Source organism: Homo sapiens, chromosome 1, assembly GCF_000001405.40.
Source record: "Homo sapiens chromosome 1, GRCh38.p14 Primary Assembly".
In the NCBI taxonomy this organism is placed as follows: Eukaryota; Metazoa; Chordata; class Mammalia; order Primates; family Hominidae; genus Homo; species Homo sapiens.
This window is the reverse complement of record NC_000001.11, coordinates 60323878-60344158: the sequence shown is the minus strand read 5'-3', so window position 1 is coordinate 60344158 and position 20281 is coordinate 60323878. Positions and strand designations below refer to the sequence as shown.

The following is a 20281-nucleotide window of genomic DNA, read 5'->3' as shown; positions in this document are numbered from 1 at the left end:
GTGTTTGTCTTTGAGAATAAGGTCACTGGGATGTAGAAGACCCTAAGTATAGGGACCTTTATGAAAAGATAAGCCCTTTGCTTAAATAGCTCAGGTTATTTTCCTTCCAGGAAGCTCTGTACACTGACACAACATCCCCTTATGGCCAAATCTCATGAAAAGTTGTATGCTGTTTGGTATCACAGAGAGCCATCCTGACAAAAATACACACAGATCGCTCCGGGCTATTTGTTCATTCACCAAGTATTTATTGAATAACTTCTGTGTGTCTGACTCTTGAATACCAGGGGTGGAAAATCAAGCAACATCAGTTCTCACTCCTGAATTACCCTATAACCCAAGTTAAACATGACAAATATATTGTCCCCATGCTCTTCTAAACCATACCCAGGATGAGGTATCACTGGTTGCCTTCTGCTACTCTGCTTGGGCCGAGAAGTTACTAGAATGAAAGTCCTTAGCAGGAGGCTCTCTGATTTGGTCACTGTATAATTCCCAGGACATGGCCATAATACATGTTCAATAAATATTTGTTGGGGAAAGGGATTGAATGCAGCTGGCGCCAATGGTGAATCTTTTTGACTCCTTTGATTTTGGAGAAGTTATCATTTTAATTATATAAATTATCAGTTTAGCCAAGCAAAACTGGTCTTATCTCCTGGATTGTAAGGAAGGTAAATTCTTCCAATGAAGACCTTTATGCAATTGGTTTAGGATGGTTTTATCCCTTTTCCCTCTCCACATGCTCCTTAGGGATACATGTGTTATAGATGACAGGTGGTATGTGCTACTGCCCTTCCTTCACAATTAGTATTTAGGAAAATAATACAGAAAACTGCCTCAATGTGTGACAAATATAAAAGCTACAGATTACGTTAGTCTGGCACTCACAGTCACTGAGTAATCATCAAAGTGACAGAGACTCTACAGCTTCAAATTCTAAAACATTTGTGTATCTTGCTTGCAAATCCAACTTCTGCTGTGGGGCAGCCCTCTACTCTTAAAAAGAAGCTTCAGATTCAACTCTATGATGACCGTTGTCTTGTTCCTAATTTCAGTGGTTCTTCCTTCCAGATGGGATACAACCTCATTGCATTCTAGATATTTTCATCTCCTCTCACCCCAATCAACCTACCCTCATAACTGTGGAATGCTGTGGCCTATCTCTGTGACTTAAATGGGGAAGGTTACTTTTGATCTCAGTTCTTTTAGAAAATTCTCTTACCCATCAATCTAGGGAACTAAACAATGCAAATGCCTCTGAAAGTTGTTAGCCTCTTTGATGCACCAACAGTGGTTCACTACTTACTCCTGCTCACTCCTCACCACACCCAGCATCAGGCAACTAAAGTTCTAAAGGCTTGATATTTTATTGCTCTTTGTATTTGTATTTATGAGTCAGAGTGACTGCCTATGAAAATATGTAGCTTGTTAATAAATAAATGAAAGGATAAATGAAAGGTGATTAAACCACATGGATGAGACTAGAGATACTACACTTCTCATATTTATATTCACAGGTGAAACAGAAAAGTGGCTTAGTCAGTGCTCTTCCTTCAGGTCCTCAGCTTGTATCATCCATGAAGACGTGGCCAGTGTTCCACTACTGGAAGCCCTTTCTCAGCCCTGGATGACTGAAAATCCCTCCCAAGCCAAAGGAGCCCCGACTGTAGCAGATCAAAAGAGAGAAGAGAGAACATAGTACCAAGAAGACATACACCTCATGGTGGACGGTATGTTCAGCCTCCCAGACTGCACTTCAGTACAGAAAGACTTCCTCCAAATACTGTCAACCTCTCTTGGCTGAAGACAGCTGCCTTGACGAGGGTTTTGCTTCTTCCCAGTGCCAGCCTGCATCCAACGAGTAGTTGATGGGGACAGGGTATATCGCCCCTGCTCAAAAGGGCCATTCAATGTCAGAGTTCCCCAAAGTTGATTACAAACTGAACTTCTCCTCTAGCTAATCTGGTTTTCTTCCATTTCTGTACAGGTATTGATCCCAAGTAGTTCTAATGCCTTCCTGCACCTGCTCCCTTTCCCAGAGACTGCTTTCTAGGTAATCCAGTTTACAATAGATTTCTTCATTCTTTTCACTGGTGATCTTAAAATCTTGATATAGGAAACAGCTTCATCCCACTGGTCCCATTGTGTTCATGACTGTTTCACCAGAGGAAGGGTGCTAGGCTAGGTAGGTAATACTCACAATGTAGACTGTTGAAAAAAATGAAATGGTAGTGAAAAAACAGAGACACAAAAGGCTTTAAAATCATGTAGACAAAGGGTACTTCCTACTGGTGCTATGTGGTCTTGAGCAAAGTACTAAGCCTCTCTGGGCCTATCTTACATACTTCATAAGGTTGTTGTGATAATTATACAAGATCATGCAAAATGAGAGCCTAGGGCAGTAAAAGGCAAAATTATTGGTAATTTCTACTAGTAACCATTGTTTGTGTGATTCATCTTTTACATTAAATGTAGCCAGAATAAGACGATGTACTTAAAGTGTGTACTATTTTTCTAATTATCTGCTGGAATGTGATGTCAGTTTAATGAGTTTTAATTAAACTGCAGTGGAATTACAGGAGGGTCAGAGAATTGAATTCTAATCAGCCAGAGCACATAGTTTCAATCAGTGTATGTCTATGACCTGGAATTTCCTGTGCTCTTATCTCAGATGCTTCAACTGGCCAGAGTTGATTTCCTTTGCTTCCAGCCCCTTGCACTAAGACTTAGTTATCTTAGACAGTATCCTTGCAGCAGTAGGGTAAGGGACATTGTAGTAGAATGGGAAAATCCCAGACTTCTCAGTTATAAAAATATGGTTTCAAATTCTGCCTCTGTTACCAGCTATACAGATTTGGAAAGTCATGTAACATCACTGAGCATCAATTTCTAATCTCTAAAGAGTGGAGGATCTCCTTGGCTTTGGTCCTTAGCCCTTCAGATTCCTGTTCCAGTCTCTTCCTGGAATGATTTTCTAAAGTATAGATTAGACCATGTTTTTTTCTTTGTTAAAACTCTTCAAAGACTGGCTGTATCAGTATTAGTTGTTGGTGGTGATTGTGGGGGATGTTGAAAATACAGGTTCTCTGTCCCATCTCAGACTTAGTAAATCATAATCTCCTAGAATGAGGCCAGTTATCTATAATTTCATTCAGCTGCCCTGTGAAACCAAGTTTGCAATTATTACTGTTACCTCTGCATGGTCTGACCCCAGCCTACTGTCAGCATTATCTCACCTCCTTCAGGTCACTGGCTATCTGTGGCCAAACCAACGGCTGACAGCTTTTGATACAGTATATTCCTGTCCTTGCTGGTGCAGCTTCCTCTGCTGGAATGACTTTTGTATCTCACTTTTCTACTTGGTAATCCCTTACACATTTTACAAGACTTCACAGAAGAGATCTTCCGTGAGGATTTTCCTGCCCCACATCCAGGAAGAATTGATTATGTACTCTTTACAGGCTCCCCAATAGGCTACACAGAATCTGAAAATTAAGTGCATAACTCCCTAATATAAACATTTCACTTCTTGCTTGTGAACCTGTAAATGGCTGGATATAAGTAGTATTATTTGTCTTTATATCATCAGACCCTGCACATAGCATATGGCCAAGAAAATCCTGATGAAGAAATACAGTCCACCTTTTGAAATTATGAACCCTCTTATAGAGATGTGTAACTGTGATGATTGAGGGCACAGAGCCACAAGTTGTAAAAGATCCCTTTGCCTTTGTTATGGTAAGAAACAAATCAGTCACTCTCTTTGGATCATTAAACTTGGCCCATTTCATCTGGGGCTTTGGACAAGCTGTTTCTATTGAATGCTGCCTTCTCCTCTTCAGGGAAATTAGCAGTTTCAGTCTGCAGCTGTGGCATTAATACAGGTGCTGACATATCAGGATGCTCAAAGAGCAAAAGTTTTTTGCGTGGGAAGGTTACCAAAGCTTTTCATTTTAATCCAACCCACAGGCACAGGGATGATCTAAATGGCACACTATTTTATCCATCTGCGATTGCCCAGGGAAGTGTGCTGTATTTTATGGACAATCTCTTGGCAGGAGATATATCATCCAGTGGTTTTTCTACCTGCTGTCTGAATCACAGTTAAAGGTCAGATATATTATGGCTCACCTGCCAATGCTAACTACCTTTCATAAAATTATGGTCCTGCTGAATGGATGAATGTCCCTTAGTACACACTTTCCGTCAGAGTTTTGGAGGTAACGGTTACTGATGCCAGTTGGTTCTTGGCAACAGCAATAAACTTCAAGCCATAGACAATGAGAACCCTTGGACCTTCTGATGTGTGGCTCATGCCTTAAGATCTTTACAGAGAATACAAATGGTGATGCTAAATCAGACTGAACTTTCTCCTACTCTCCTTAAGCCTCTTTTTCTCTCCAGTGTCATTTTCCACTGCTATAAAAAAGTTAAGGTCTGTCAAACAGATATTTATTCTTTGCTGAGTCAGAAACTCACTCTATAGCTACATAATTTTTACTCTTTTTCCATGTAGGAACAGTGATTTTGGACTCTAGTTGGGTGATGAATTCTGCTGAGACATCCTCATATGAAGAGGGTACATGCAAATTAAAATTGAAGTATAAACTTGGGTATTACTTGGGGAATGAGGTACATAGGTTCACAGCCCAGCAACTGTCACATTTCTATAGTTCTTGACCTCTTATTAATTTTTACCATGTGTATTCTGAAAGTGATGCAGTAGAATGTTGCCAGTGTGTACTCTAAGCTAATCAGAACTGGGTTGAAGTCCTACCATTGCCACTATAAATGCATGGCCTTGAGTGAGTTATTCTATGTTCCTGAGAGACAATGGTGGCAAAGTACCATATAGAGCATATAGTAAGCACTGAGTAAATATTAGTTGTTTTTAATCATTTTATCAATGCCTACCTTCTTTTATGGTTATTAGTAATATATTAATCCTTAATATATGTCTCTGCCTCAACATTATAACAAGACAAGAGCTCTATACTGATCATTTCACCTACAGTTCTCCAAAAGTATGCATATTGGAATTTTGATTATATTACTATACATAAAAATTTTTATTACACTTTAATATAACTCTAGTATTTTTTCTAGAAATACAAGTTTCCTGGAAGTGACTTATCCAGATGTGTTATATGAAAATGCATATATAATAATAATTTTCTACTAGGAAGACTTTGTGTTGCACCTAACCTATAGCAAGATCCAGGAAAGATCAAAAACGTGAGTTTGGGTTACACTGCGACTAAAAGCATGGTGGCCACACCTTGGCTCCTTTAATTACATTCTGTATAAGTTTGGGCCAATGAACCTCTCTAAGTTTCAGTTTCCCTTTTCACAAAATGAGAACAATAAAATGTACCTACTTCTTAGATATTTTGTGAGAATAGTTTAAGAAAAACACAGGTGAAACACTTAGAATAGTGTCTGGCACATAGTAATTAATGAATACATGCTCACATCCAAATAGTAGACTTGACCTGTCTGAAATCTAGTACCTAAAGACATAGACAAAATAGGAACAAAAACAATTAAAGCCTTCTTAGCAATAAGTGGAAATCTATAGGAAATATTCGCTATTATTTTCTGGTGTCATTTCAAAGAACTTTCAGATTCACCAGTGTTTTGGGGAAATAGCATTTGAAAGATGTGCAACAAAGTGTATGTGGAGTACAAAATATGACCTATTTGAAATATTTTTTCATTTACAGGCTTCCTAATAGTGACCCTCCAGGGAGAAAGTGAGGCAGCACAGCTCAGTGTTGTGGTGATCTGATCCTTATCCTTCCACAGCCATTGCTGACTGATAAAGAAATGAAAACTGAAATGTGGTAACTGACAGGAAGGATTTCTCAGGCATATGTTAAAAAGTCGCTGAGTGACATAACCAGGTAGTGACATTGAAAGTGAGCACTCCAAGGTTTTTAATTTAGTGGGACTAATGATCAAGTCCCAGACTACCCTTTAGTACTTCTTTGGCTTAGCATAGCAGAACACAAGGCTTGAAAGTGCTAATGAATTAATAGATGAATGAGTAAATAAGATGTGGAGATATTCAACAAAAGCTACTTTTATCATATGCTTTGCAGAGGACAAGAGCTCAAGAAATAGTTAATTCATTAATTAGTTAATTAATTGGGAGATAGGGGCAGGTGACTCATGAACCCCAATGACTCAGGGATAATTGTAATTTTCCTTCAATATTTAAAAGCATTTCTCAAATAACCTTTGCTTTTTTACTAAATAATTTTGAGATTTTTCCAAATATTTACTGGCAAAAAAAGTCAGCACCTTTTCTATGACTTGGCCATTCCTATAATGTGCAGGGAGAAGGGCAGGCTAATTTTTGAGATGGAATGTGAGATGTTCCCTGTGGGAGACTGAATCACCCCATAGTTCTTGATTCTTAGTGATTGATGTAAAAATCTATTTGAAGTTGAAAAACTATATAGTTATGTTTCAGCTCTCACTCTTACCAGTAGTCACAACAATATCTCTATTTTTTTTTTTTTGCATGTAGTCCTTTAAGAAAAGTATCTCTATCTAAAATAGACCAATAGTATTTTGACTCATTGTTCTGTCTCTTTTTAGCTTCAGATTTTTAAAGGTTGGGGCATTGGGGCTTCTTAGTACAGACCTTAGGGTTTTTTTTTTTTTTTTTTTTTAGACGGAGTCTCACTCTGTTGCCCAGGATGCAGTGCAATGGCATGATCTTTCCTCACTGCAACCTCTGCCTCCCAGATTCAAGTGATTCTCCTGCCTCAGCCTCCCAAATAGCTGGGATTACAGGCACCCGCCACCACACCCAGCTAATTTTGTGTCTTTTTAGTAGAGACAGGGTTTCACCATGTTGGGCAGGCTGGTCTCAAACTCCTGACCTCAGGTGATCCACCCGCCTTAGCCTCCCAAAGTGCTAGGATTACAGATGTGAGCCACCGCGCCCAGCCCCTTAGGTTATTTTTAAGACATGGCATTCTTTTAGCTATTAGAAAGGGTCAGAACCTTTTGTGCTATCTTCAAGCATCTGTGGGAATATTGGCTATCATATCTGAAAGTGAAGTTCACATGCCTAGCAAGGGTTTATTTATTTGTCTAATTAACACATTGAAAATGATTACTGGAATGAGGCATAAAACTACAATACAGGCCATCCCAGGAATGGTAACTCCCAAAGAAGCATACTTTCTTTTAAGTCCAGTCATTTTAGCCATGAAACTTCAAGGGTATAATTGCGTTTTTATATAATAGGTAGGAATGTTTTCTAAGAGAATATTATTAAACAAAGATTACTGAAACTTTGAATTGGTTTCTGCTATTGGAGTTTGATATGTACTTTGATTCACTTAGGTTTTCCCACCCTTATTAAGAAAGTCCTATTGGCTAACTTTTTAATATCAAGAATGCATTATGCTGCATTATAAAGGTCCACATGCTTTTTAAGAGTTAGCTAAATACAGGATGTTATGACTCTTTCATCCCATAGGCATCTAGAGTTGCACTGTCCAATGTGGTAGACCCTAGCCAAATGTGGCTATTTAAATTTAAACTTAATTTAGTTAAAAGTAAGCAAAATTGGCCAGGCACAGTGGCTCACACCTGTAATCCCAGCACTTTGGGAGGCCGAGGCTGGTAGATCACGAGGTCAGGTGATCGAGACCATCCTGGCTAACATGGTGAAACCCTGTCTCTACTAAAAATACAAAGAAAAATTAGCGGGTATCATGGCGGGCACCTGTAGTCCCAGCTACTCGGGAGGCTGAGGCAGGAGAATGGCATGAACCTGGGAGGCGGAGCTTGCAGTGAGCCGAGATTGTGCCATTGCACTCCAGCCTGGGTGACAGAGGGAGACTCCGTCTCAAAAAACAAACAAAAAAAAAGTGAGCAAAATTATAAATTCAGTTTCTCAATCACAGTAGTCACATTTCAAGCACTCTAGAGGTGTAAATGGCTACGGTATTGGATGTCATAGTTTCCATCAGCATTGAATATTCCATTGAACAGCACTAATCTAGGGTGACCAACAAAGGTATCTCAAATATAAGAGACTTAATGGAGATCTGCAGCGTAAGTCACATGATGGTGCACTCATCACCATTAGCTCAGGAAATTGGAAGAAAATGTATTTATCCTGAATGACATAGAGTTTTCCATAGTCAATTACTTGCACGTCGCTATTTTTGTCCCCTGTGCTACTCCCATTTCTTCAATTAACTTTTTGTTTCTCAAATATTTCTTTAAGAATGGTGGCACACTGTCTGGTAGGGGGTAAGGAGAGAAAGGAAAAAGGATTAGAGGGCACACTGATGTCTAAGCAATAAAACCCTGGTATTTTGGGTTGAGAAGTTCTCACATTGTAAGAAGTTCTAAAGTTTCATTTTAGAAAAAAAGGACTCTTTACAGCATTTATTTCTGCTTTTTCTGGCAAACCTTAACTTCCTGGTTCAAAGAAAAGACGTGTATAAATGAGACCCACAAGGCTTCTTTGACATCAAATCTCTCTTACAGCAGAACATTTTGATAAGTTAAGTGTAAATGAACCAGAAACATATGGATTAAATTTCCCCATGATAGTAAGAGGTTAGAAAAATTGTGGGGGGAATGTACCTGGGAAAATGCATTTGGGGGCTTGCTGGGCCCTTGATGCTTAAAAATCAGAGCATATTATTTTGCTGGAAGCAAAATGTAAAGTAGAACCAGTCACCTCAGTTCTGTTCCTTTTGCAAAGCTTCTGAGGAAAATTAGAAATGACAGTTGCATTTCCCTTTTAGCTGATAGGACTGTGATGATGTAGGTTGAGAGGGAGCTGGTGCCCATACCTGGCACAGCGGTGGGAAAAACGGAGTGTGGAGTGGGGTAGAGTGGAGTGGGGTGCTCCCTTCCTGTGCCAGTGCACAAGAGTCAGCTGATAAGGTGGGGTGGCTACTGAGAAGAAGCAATGTTTTGTGAAAAGCAGTCCTCTTTGTACTTGGATACACCAACAGGGTCTTTCTGCCTTCTTGGGTGCACTTGAAAGGTTTTAAACTAGGGAAGTGACATGATCATATCACTCAGTGGCCCTGGGGAGCGTGGCTACAGAAAGACTTAAGTAAAGGAAAACAAGTCAGGAATGTTAGGCAAGAGATCATGGGGTCCAAAATTTAGGGGAAAATAGAAAGCATTTAGATAAAAAAGAATGTTAGGGCTCTGTGATCCACTTGATATGGAAGATGAAATAAAAACCTAAGGCAAGAATTAAGGAATCTGCTCCAACTCCCACAACTTTTTTCACATCCAGCTCTTTTCACTCCAAAGTTTCTGACATATAAATCAAACAAGCAATTCGTTCCTTCACTCATTCATTTGATTATTGGTAAGTATTTTTACCAAGTACATCCTATGTGCCAGACAGTGTGAGGTGTTTGAGATGATGATGCTCAGCTTTGGGCTGATTATGATTGTTGCAGGAAGATCAGCTCACTAGTATCTTACGATATTGTTATCCAAAATCATTCGTGGAGACAGACCAGATAATTGGTAAAACTTAAACCATTCACATTTCAGCTAGACTCATTCAGAACTTTTGCTGTTATAGTTTGGCTGAAGGTCTGAAAATGAAGCTGCTTGCTTTTCAAAATCAGTTTGTCTATCTCTAATGAGCCCTTGGTTAGAGTCACTTGTCAGGCAGTGATATCCTGCGTTAGAGGAAATTGCCATGTTAATACTTATAGTCCCTTATAATCACTTTCTCCATGCAAGATCTTAGACCCCAATGCACCAAGTCAAGCCATTGCCCCAAAGAAGCAACCCATTTTTTCAAAAAGGCAACACATCCCCTTATGTTGTCAACAGAAGTTACAACACTTCCACCCAAAGCTGGCCTTGGCCAAGAAGAAAAGCATCTATGTTTTCCTTTTGATTCAAGATCATACAGTTTGATGAGATCTCCTTTAATTAAAACTTGTTTAAAACAAGGGCTAGAGGGATGAAAGGAGGAAATGTTAGGATGATCTTCAGAATTTATTGCACTGACCCTTGTACTAACACCATGAGAAGTGATAGAGCTGGAATTTAAACTATCTACTTTTCAAACCCTTGTTCTTTCCACACCACCACAATTTGTCGATTTGAGGATATATAAGCTGAATTAATCAAGTTATTCACCTCTCCTCCAAATTGTCTTGACCAACAGGTGCTACAGTGAGAGTGGCAGAGAACAGACAGTCTGCAGACCAAGAAGTTAAAAAAAAAAAACAGTTGGCAAGTCACTCCTGAAAGCTAAAGACTTCTTTACTCTGCTACAGTATTTCTCACACAGGTGAAGCTTAGACATAAAAGACATGAAAGTCTCCTAATATATAATATATTGGCTGAAAATGTGATGATGTGGAGATTCTTGTATTCTTGACTGTGACTCTCTATGTGTTCCATGTTTTGTGAAAGATTGTTACTTTTGTGTCATTGTCAACTATCAATCGCTGTGTTCATGTATTGGGTTCATGTTACCCACCTATCTTCTGTGAGGAGAATAAACTATGTTTTTTTAATTTATAAAAAAGGAATGCAGCTGCCCTCTTGGTACCCAAGTTCTTGTCCAGCATCTAGGAAGAATCAGGTCACAGGAATGAATGGAAGGGTGGTGAATGTGGAGGATTTTATTGAGCAGTGGAAGTGGCTCTCAGTGGGGTGGGGAGCTAGAAAGGGGCTGGAGTGGGAAGATGATCTTTACCTGGAGTTTGGCCATCCTTAGCCAAACTGTTCTCCAAAGTCCTGCTATCAAGCCGTCCCTCTGAAGTCAAGCTGCTTCTCTCTGATGTCCAGTTGCTTCTTCTCTTCTCTCCTTCTCTGTTGCTCTGCTCTGCCACTCAGCTGCTCTGCTTCTCTGCCACCCCTCTGCCAGGGGAGACTGGGGTTCTTATGGGTACAGGATTGGGGGGGCGGGTGGGCCAAAAACAACATTTGAGCAGGAAAATAGTAATGCATGTTCTCACTTTGGGCCACAGTCCCAGGCTTCAGGGTGTGGCCCTCACTGGGGACTGCCCTTTTCTAGTCAGTATTTCCATGCCTCCTGTCCATATCACTAATATTTTGGGGATTTATTCAAAATGCATGGATAGGAGACCCTCTTTAACTATTACAGGTTAATACAAATGCTCTCTTGGCAGGTTTAGGTGAGAGAAATGCCTTATTTTCTACTGTCTTGGAGATCTCAAGATCATCATGCAGACTTCAGAGATAAAAAGAAAAGAGGCTACTCTAGTGTGAAATCTTATATTTACATTCCTCATCACTCACTGAGAACCTTAGCAAATATGATTTAACACGTAATATTTATCTGAATATTTCTCCATCTCAGGAGATTAGAAGTAGCAAGCTATGTGAGAAAAGGGAAAGGAAGAAGTGATAAGCAGATTAGGGAAAGTTTGAGAAAACCTATTAAGGAAGATGAAGAGAGTGAGTTAACGTGATATTTGCAATATGTATCACTTATAAACAATAACTACTGCTTGATTAATTAAAAACATATAAACCAAAAAAAGGAATGCTAATGAACATTAAAGATATATTTACACTGATAAGATCTCGCTATTTTCTCTTTTCTAAAACTTCCAAAGACTAGCCATTGTTTCATAAACAAAAAATGTAAGTACCTTAGAGAGACACAGCTCCTCAGGACTAGCCCATATAATAGAGATAAAGCAGGGCCCAGTACTTAAGAGCAAGCTGTGAAAATAGCCCCAGTTTGAGCCTAGGCGCTACCAGTTTCCTACTGAGTAAACTTGGCCAAGTCACAGGATCTTTCTGCATCTCAGTTTCCTCATCTGTATAATGGGAAAAGTAATAGTACTATGACATAAAGTTATGTGAAGATTAAATGATTTATTATACTTAAGGTCTTAGACCAGTGTTGGGTGCATAGTTAATATTCAAATGTCAGCTACTACTCTTTCCTCTCCTGTAAGAACTCCCAGCTGCCTCATCTACTACTCTATGTGTGAGCCCGAACTGCTTTTCATCAGTGCTAGTCTGTACTTATCATTTCTTTCTGACACACATGTATTATTTTAAAACTCAGTAAAAATATAGACTTTTCTAAAAAGGCTTTATTTGATTAAATCTTCATCTCTATAATGGAAACTTTATCTGCATTTTTTGAATCTTATGTCTTTTCTATATTTTTCACATTTTTTTACAGTATAAAGAAACCCTTCTAATACATTTCTTGCTCAACTACTATTGTTTCTGCTATTACTAACTCCTGCTGCTGCTTGCTGCTGGCTACCATTTCTTGGGAGCTTACTCTGTCAGGCACTGTGCCAAGTGCTTCATATGCATTATCCACTTTAAATCTTATAAAAACTTCAGGAGGTTAGTACTATTCATTCATTTAAATCATGTTTATTCAGGGCTTACTTTGTGCATGTCAATGTTCTGGACACCGAGGATATATTAATACTAGTGAGCAAAACAAAGTTCCTATCTTTGTAGAAACTTCATTCTGTTGCTCCCATTTTAAGAAGGTATCTGAGTCTTGCGCAGTTCACAGAGTGAAAGAGGTATTAGCCAGGCCCAAGGCTATTGATTCTAGGTCCCATACACAGCCACCCTTTCAAGGTGTCATTGTGAAATTTTAGTTTTCTTTCCGTTTCTATTTTCTCCTTTTCCTTCCCAACATCTTCCATTTCCTGTTTGGAGATCCATAGGGTTCCAAGGAAATTGATTCTATCTTAGCTCCAGGGATGGAGAATGTGACCTAGTCTAAGGGAAAATACCCCATGACTTTAACTCTGCAGACCACAGGGACTGGTTCAGGGGTACAAATGTGACCCAAGCTGGTCAGTGAATCCACTTTCCTTGGATTGAGGGACAAAAGTACTCTTTCTTCCGGTGGATAGCGTAACGTTTGTATATGAAGCCTGAAACTTCTATAGTCAATTTTGCCTCTATGAGAGAAGCCAGTGTGAAAATCAAGTCAATTCATGGAGGAAGGCAAAACCAAGAGAATTTCAGAGAAAAGAAATTAGAGCTCTAATGACATTATGAACTTCTCGTTCAAACTATGCCTAAAGCTCCTGTATTTCTGTACTTGTAAGAATCACAAGGCAATAAACTCCTTTTATTTTTAACCAGTTTTATTTTAGATGCCTGTGTTTTAACTGTTGTTTTTCTTTGTAACTGAAAACATCTTAAATGATAGACAAAACAAAGGTCAGTGCCTGTTCTTCCTCTTGGCTCCACTCATTACTTTCATCTCTCCTTCATCTCATCTTTACTTATCTTTTTTTACTCCACTTTCTTCTATTCTCTTTCCTACTTCCCCACCCTTCCATTCTCCCAAAATTCATATGGCTTCTATCAACACTACTTGTAGGCACATTAACAGATGTAATAATGAACTCACAAAATATTTATTTCATAAAAAAAATACATAGGGCCAGAAGGGACTTTGAGAGATAATGTGTTCCAGCTCCTTCCTTCACGTAGGTAAGCTATTATTAGTCTCACAAGGCAGATGAAGCCCAGAAATATTAAACAACTTGTTCAAGCTGGTTAACAACAGACTGGGAAATCAACCCTAAATCAGAGGGTCAGAGAATCATGGCATTCAAAATCTCTAAGTATCTCAGAGAGTCTCTGGGTTCAACCCACTCATTTTATACTTTGGGAAACTGAGTATTGATGAGGTTTAGTGACATGCTTAAATTCACATTGCAAATCTGAGGTAGATCTAGGACAAACATAAACTTTCTGAAGCCCTCTCCAGTGTTATTTCCACTACATTAAACTGGTTCTGCCTTTTAAAGTCATTTTTAAAATATGTTGGGTAATTATTGAAATTAATCTGCCATACTTGAGGAGATTCAGTGCTTTATCCAAATGGCTTGTTAAATCCCCTCTATTGCCTTGATCTCTGTTGGAGGCAGATTCATTCATAACACATGACCCAAGCACTCAGAAACAACTTTAACCATAAATCCATAATACTCTTTTACCCTTTGTTGAAATCAGTTACTTTACTCAAAAAGTGTTCTTAATTAATTTTTAATACACAATTTTCTTCCTTTCTTAAAATTAACTCCAGTGTTTGTGGTGGAGCAGGGGTTTGTGTAGTAAAAGCTGACTTCCCACCACCACCGCACTGACATGAAACAGTCTGGATTTTTGTTATAAAAAAACTTCCCCAAGTAAAAAACAATGACTTAGGGGAATTTTCTATCATTACAGCTGTTGAAACCTTTTTTCCATTTCTTTTAGCTTTAGTGCCCAGAAACAATATAATCTCATGACTCCCAAACAAGTAAGAGTTTTTCCAGCCCAGTGGACTAGGCCTGATGCCACCAAATTGCTGAAGCTCCCTTCTTAACTGTTTACACAATTCCTCCAGGTTCAAACATAACTGTTCTTCTCTCCATTCTCCCTTCATCTGCAACTAACACCACTGCGGATCAAAAGCTCTTATTCAGTTTCCCTTCCAAGTCCACAACTCTCAATTTTCTGAGTGGAGAGCTGGGAGTGGGAGGGAGACTCCATTCCTCACTAGTCTTCTTAAGCATTCTTCACACTTGATTATCTTCTCTAATGAAATAGGTTCTAATACACACAATTGTATCTGCCAGGACTTTTATGTTATGACTGCATACCAATAAACTCCAACTTCTCACTTGAATAAAGCAAGCAAGGTTTTTGTTTCATTTTGTTTTCCTCTCATTCATGTTGCATATGCAATGTCATCATCTGGAGATGCCCCTGTGTGTCCTCATTGTATGTGTTCACTACACAGACTGAAAAAGAAACTTGATGTTGCTGTGGCAGAGGGAAAAGAGCATTCTGGAAGGTCTAACTTCAGCTGATACTCCAGCCCAAAAGTAATACATACATCACTTGTGTTCAAATTCATCGGTCAAATAAATTCAAATTATCATCCCTAATTACAACCAGAGTATGAGAGAGAGAAAGCCACAATATGTGTGTGTGGCCCTAAAGAACCAAAGACTACCATATGACATTTAAATGACAATGTTTTTTGAAAAAATATGAATTGACTAAGGAAGGCAGAGAAGGAGGAAGAGGAGAAGGAAGGTGAGTGAACTTTAAGAATTTTCTTATGGTGCTTAAATACTGTTTTTCTACGCCTAGACCCTTGAATTGCAGCCATATGACATTGACAGAGGCAGAGCCAAATATCAGTCTCACAACTAGAATATGGACTCTTGTTTTTACTGGGAGATGGAGAGGGTTTGGGAGCCCACAGGGTAACTTTCAAACATCGTTAAGTTGCCAATAAGAAAAATTATGATCTGGGTCCTATTTACCTCGTTTTTTTTTTTTTTTCTGTTCACTGCTACACTCTGTCCAAATGAAGATTCTTGAGTCCCTTTTACTTTATTAGTGTTATATTTTGTTATTATTATTTAAAATTTTCCCTGATCATTTTCTTAAGTAAACATTTAAAAAAACTTATCAACTGAATGATTACCTTAGATCAGCCTTCTGTAAATAAAGTTGTTCTTTTTAACTTAATGCTGTTTTGTTTCATAAATTTGCATTCAATAAAGTACTTTAGAACTGTCTAGATTATTTTCAATCTATCATACTTACCAAAAAAACATGTTTGGAATGTAATTATTTTTATATGAAAAAGACCTAAAGATTATAGATAAAACCCAATACTTTTCCATCACTAATAAATGGGACAATCTTAAAAAAGCTCTTTCTGTCATTTTCTTGTGTTAATATAGGCCTCTTAATCTTTGGAGATCTGTTAAAATTAAAAACAGTTGTGCAAATCATAGCCTCAGGGACAAATCAGAAGTAGGCTTGACAAGGTGGTTAATAACAAACTCCTCCGAGCTAAAGGAGCATGTTTTAACCCAATGCAAGGAAGCTAGGAACATTGAAAAAAGGCTAGAAGAATTGCTAACTAGAATAACCAGTTTAGAGAAGAACATAAATGACCTGATGGAGTTGAAAAACACAGCATGAGAACTTTGTGAAGCATACACAAGTATCAATAGCTGAATCAATCAAGCAGAAGAAAGGATATCAGAGATTGAAGATCAACTTAATGAAATAAAGCGTGAAGAAGGTTAGAGAAAAAAAGAATGAAAAGGAATGAACAAAGCCTCCAAGAAATATACGACTATGTGAAAAGACCAAATCTACATTTGATTGGTGTACCTGAAAGTGAAGGGGAGAATAGAACCAAGTTGGACAACACTTTTCAGGATATTACCCAAAAGAACTTCCCCAACCTAGCAAGACAGGCCAACATTTAAATTCAAGAACTATAGAGAACACCACAAAGATACTCCTTGAGAAGAGCAACTCCAGGACACATAATTGTCAGATTCACCAAGGTTGAAACGAAGGAAAAAATGTTAAGGGCAGCCAGAGAGAAAGGTCAGGTTACCCACAAAGGGAAGCCCATCAGACTAACAGAAGATCTTTCTCAGGAACCCTGCAAGCCAGAAGAGAGTGGGGGCCAATGTTCAACATTCTGAAAGAAAAGAATTTTCAACCCAGAATTTCATATCCAGTCAAACTAAGCTTCAAAAGCAAAGGAGAAATAAAATCCTTTAAAGACAAGCAAATGCTGGGAGATTTTGTCACCACCAGGCCCGCCTTACAAGAGCTCCTGAAGGAAGCATTCAATGTGGAAAGGAAAAACCAGTACCAGCCACTGCAAAAACATACCAAATTGTAAAGACCATCGACACTATGAAGAAACTGCATCAACTAACAGGCAAAAGAACCAGCTAGCATCATAATGACAGGATCAAATTCACACGTAACAATATTGATCTTAAATGTAAATAGGCTAAATGCCCCAATTAAAAGACACAGACTGGCAAATTGGATAGAGTCAAGACCCATCAGTGTGCTATATTCAGGAGACTCATCTGATGTGAAAGGACACACATAGGCTCAAAATAAAGGGATGGAGGAATATTTACCCAGCAAATGGAAGCAAAAAAAAGCACGGGTTGCAATCCTAATCTCTGATAAAACAGACTTTAAATCAACAAAGATCAAAAAAGACAAAGAAGGGCATTACATAATGGTAAAGGGATCAATGCAACAAGAAGAGCTAACTATCCTAAACATATATGCACCTAATACAGGAGCACCCAGATTCATAAAGCAAGTATTTAGCGACCTTGAAAGAGACTTAGACTCCCACACAATAATAGTGGTAGACTTTAACACCCCACTGTCAATATAAGACAAATCAACAAGACAGAAAATTAACAAGGATATTCAAGTCTTGAACTAAGCTCTGGACCAAGTGGACCTAATAGACATCTACAGAACTCTTCACCCCAAATCAACGGAATATACATTCTTCTTGGCACCACATTGCACTTAATCTAAAATTGACCACATAATTCAAAGTAAAACACTCCTCAGCAAATGCAAAAGAATGGAAATCATAACAAACGGTCTCTCAGAGCACAGTGCAATCAAATTAGAACTCAGGATTAAGAAACTCACTCAAAACCACACAACTACATGGAAATGGAACATCCTGCTCCTGAATGACTACTGGGTAAATAACAAAATTAAGGCAGAAATAAATAAGTTCTTTGAAACCAATAAGAACAAAGACACAACGTACCAGAATCTCTGGGACACAGCTAAAGCAGTATCGAGAGGGAAATTTATAGCACTAAATGCCCACAGGAGAAAGCAGGAAAGATCTAAAATCGACACCCTAACATCACAATGAAAAGAATTAGAGAAGCAAGAGCAAACAAATTCAAAAGCTAGCAGAAGACAAGAAATAACTAATATCTAAGCAGAACTGATGGAGATAGAGACATGAAAAGCCCTTCAAAAAATTAGTGAATCCCAGAGCTGTTTTTTTTTTGAAAAGACTAACAAAATAGATAGACCACTAGCCAGAAAATAAAGAATAAAAGAGAGAAGAATCAATTGGACACAATAAAAAACAATAACGGGGATATCATCACTGATCCCAGAGAAATACAGACCACCATCACTTTGTGAATATTGTAAACACCTCTATGCAAATCAACTAGAAAATCTAGAAGAAATGGATAAATTCCTGGACACATACACCCTCCCAAGACTAAACCAGGAAGAAGTCAAATCCCTGAATAGACCAAAAACAAGTTCTGAAATTGAGGCAGTAATTAATAGCCTACCAACCAAAAAAAGACCCAGGAACAAATGGATTCACAGCCGAATTTTACCAGAGGTACAAAGAGGAGCTGGTACCAATCCTTCTGAAACTATTCCAAGCAGTAGAAAAAGAGGTAATCCTCCCTAACTCATTTTATGAGGCCAGAATCATCCTGATACCCAAACCTGTCAGAGACACAGTAAAAAAAGAAAATTTCAGGCCAATATCCCTGATAAATATCGATGCGAAAATCCTCAATAAAATACTGGCAAACCAAATCCAGCAGCACACAAAAAGCTTATCCACCATGATCCATTGGCCTCATCCCTTGGATGCAAGGCTGGTTCAACATATGCAAATCAATAAACGTAATCCATCACATAAACAGAACCAGTGACAAAAACCACATGATTATCTCAATAGATGTAGAAAAGGCCTTGGATAAAATTCAACACCCATTCATGCTAAAAACTCTCAATAAACTAGGTATTGAAGTAACATATCTCAAAATAATAAGAGCTATTTTTGACAAACCCACAGCCAACATCATGCTGAATGGGCAAAAGCTGGAAGCATTCCTTTGAAAACTGGCACAACACAAGGATGCCTTGTCTCACCTCTCCTATTCAACATAGTATTGGAAGTTCTGGCCAGGGCAATCAGGCAAGATAAATAAATAAATGGCATCCAAATAGGAAGAGAGGAAGTCAAATTGTCTCTGCTTGAGGATGACATGATTGTATATTTAGAAAACACCATCATCTCAGCCCCAAATCTCCTTAAGCTGATAAGCAACTTCAGAAAAGTCTCAGGATACAAAATCAATGTGCAAAGATCACAAGCACAATAATAGACAAAATAGCAAAATCATGAGTGAAGTCCCATTCAAAATTGCTACAAATAGAATAAAATACCTAGGAATCCAACTTACAAGGGATGTGAAGGACCTCTTCAAGGAGAACTACAAATCACTGCTCAAAGAAATAAAAGAGGACACAAACAAATGGAAAAACATTCCATGCTCATGGATAGGAAGAATCAGTATCATGAAAATGGCCACACTGCTCAAAGTAATTTATAGATTCAATGCTATCCTCATCAAGCTACCGCTGACTTTCTTCAAAGAATTAGAAAAAAACTACTTTAAATTTCATATGGCACCAAAAAAGAGCCCGTATAGCCATGACAATCCTAAGCAAAAAGATCAAAGCTGGAGGCATCACGCTACCTGACTTCAAACTACACTACAAGGCTCCAGTAACCAGAACAGCATGGTGCTGGTACCAAAACAGATATATAGACCAATGGAACAGAATCAAGGCCTCATAAATAACCCCACACGTCTACAACCATCTGATCTTTGACAAACCTGACAAAAACAAGCAATGGGAAAAGGGTTCCCTATTTAATAAATGATGTTGAGAAAACTGGCTAGCCATATGCAGAAAACTGTAACTGGATCCATTCCTTACACCTTATACAAAAATTAACTCAAGATAGATTAAAGACTTAAATGTAAGACCTAAAACCATAAAAACCCTAGAAAAATACCTAGGCAATATGATTCAGGACATAGGCATGGGCAAAGACTTCACGACTAAAACACCAAAAGCAATCACGACAAAAGCCAAAATTGACAAATGGGATCTAATTAAACTAAAGTGCTTCTGCACAGCAAAAGAAACCATCATCAGAGTGAACAGGCAATGTACAGAATGGGAGAAAATGTTTGCAATCTATCCATTTGGCAAAAGGCTAATATCTAGAATCTACAAAGAAGGTAAATTGACAAAAACAACCCCATCAAAATGTGGGTGAAGTATATGAACAGACACTTCTCAAAAGAAGACATTTATGCAACTAGTAAACATATGAAAAAAAGCTCATCATCACTGGTCACTAGAGAAATGCAAATCAAAACCACAATGAGATACCATCTCACACCAGTTATAATGGTGATCATTAAAAAGTCAGGAAACAACAGATGCTAGAGAGGATGTGGAGAAATAGGAAAGCTTTTATACTGTTGGTGGGAGTGTAAATTAGTTCAACCATTGTGGAAGACAGCGTGGCGATTCCTCAAGGATCTAGAATCAGAAATACCATTTGACTCAGCAATTCCATTACGCAAAGGATTATAAAGAA

At 38.4% G+C, this 20281-nt stretch overlaps 1 annotated feature.

Annotated features, from left to right (window-relative positions):
• Positions 871–2070: an enhancer, noted in NCBI's record as "CDK7 strongly-dependent group 2 enhancer chr1:60807761-60808960 (GRCh37/hg19 assembly coordinates)". NCBI's record gives its function as "activates an origin of replication core promoter dependent on BRD2, BRD4, P300/CBP, MED14 and CDK7 cofactors, with strong dependence on CDK7, by STARR-seq in HCT116 cells {active_cell/tissue: HCT116}" and the evidence as "EXISTENCE:reporter gene assay evidence [ECO:0000049][PMID:35650434]".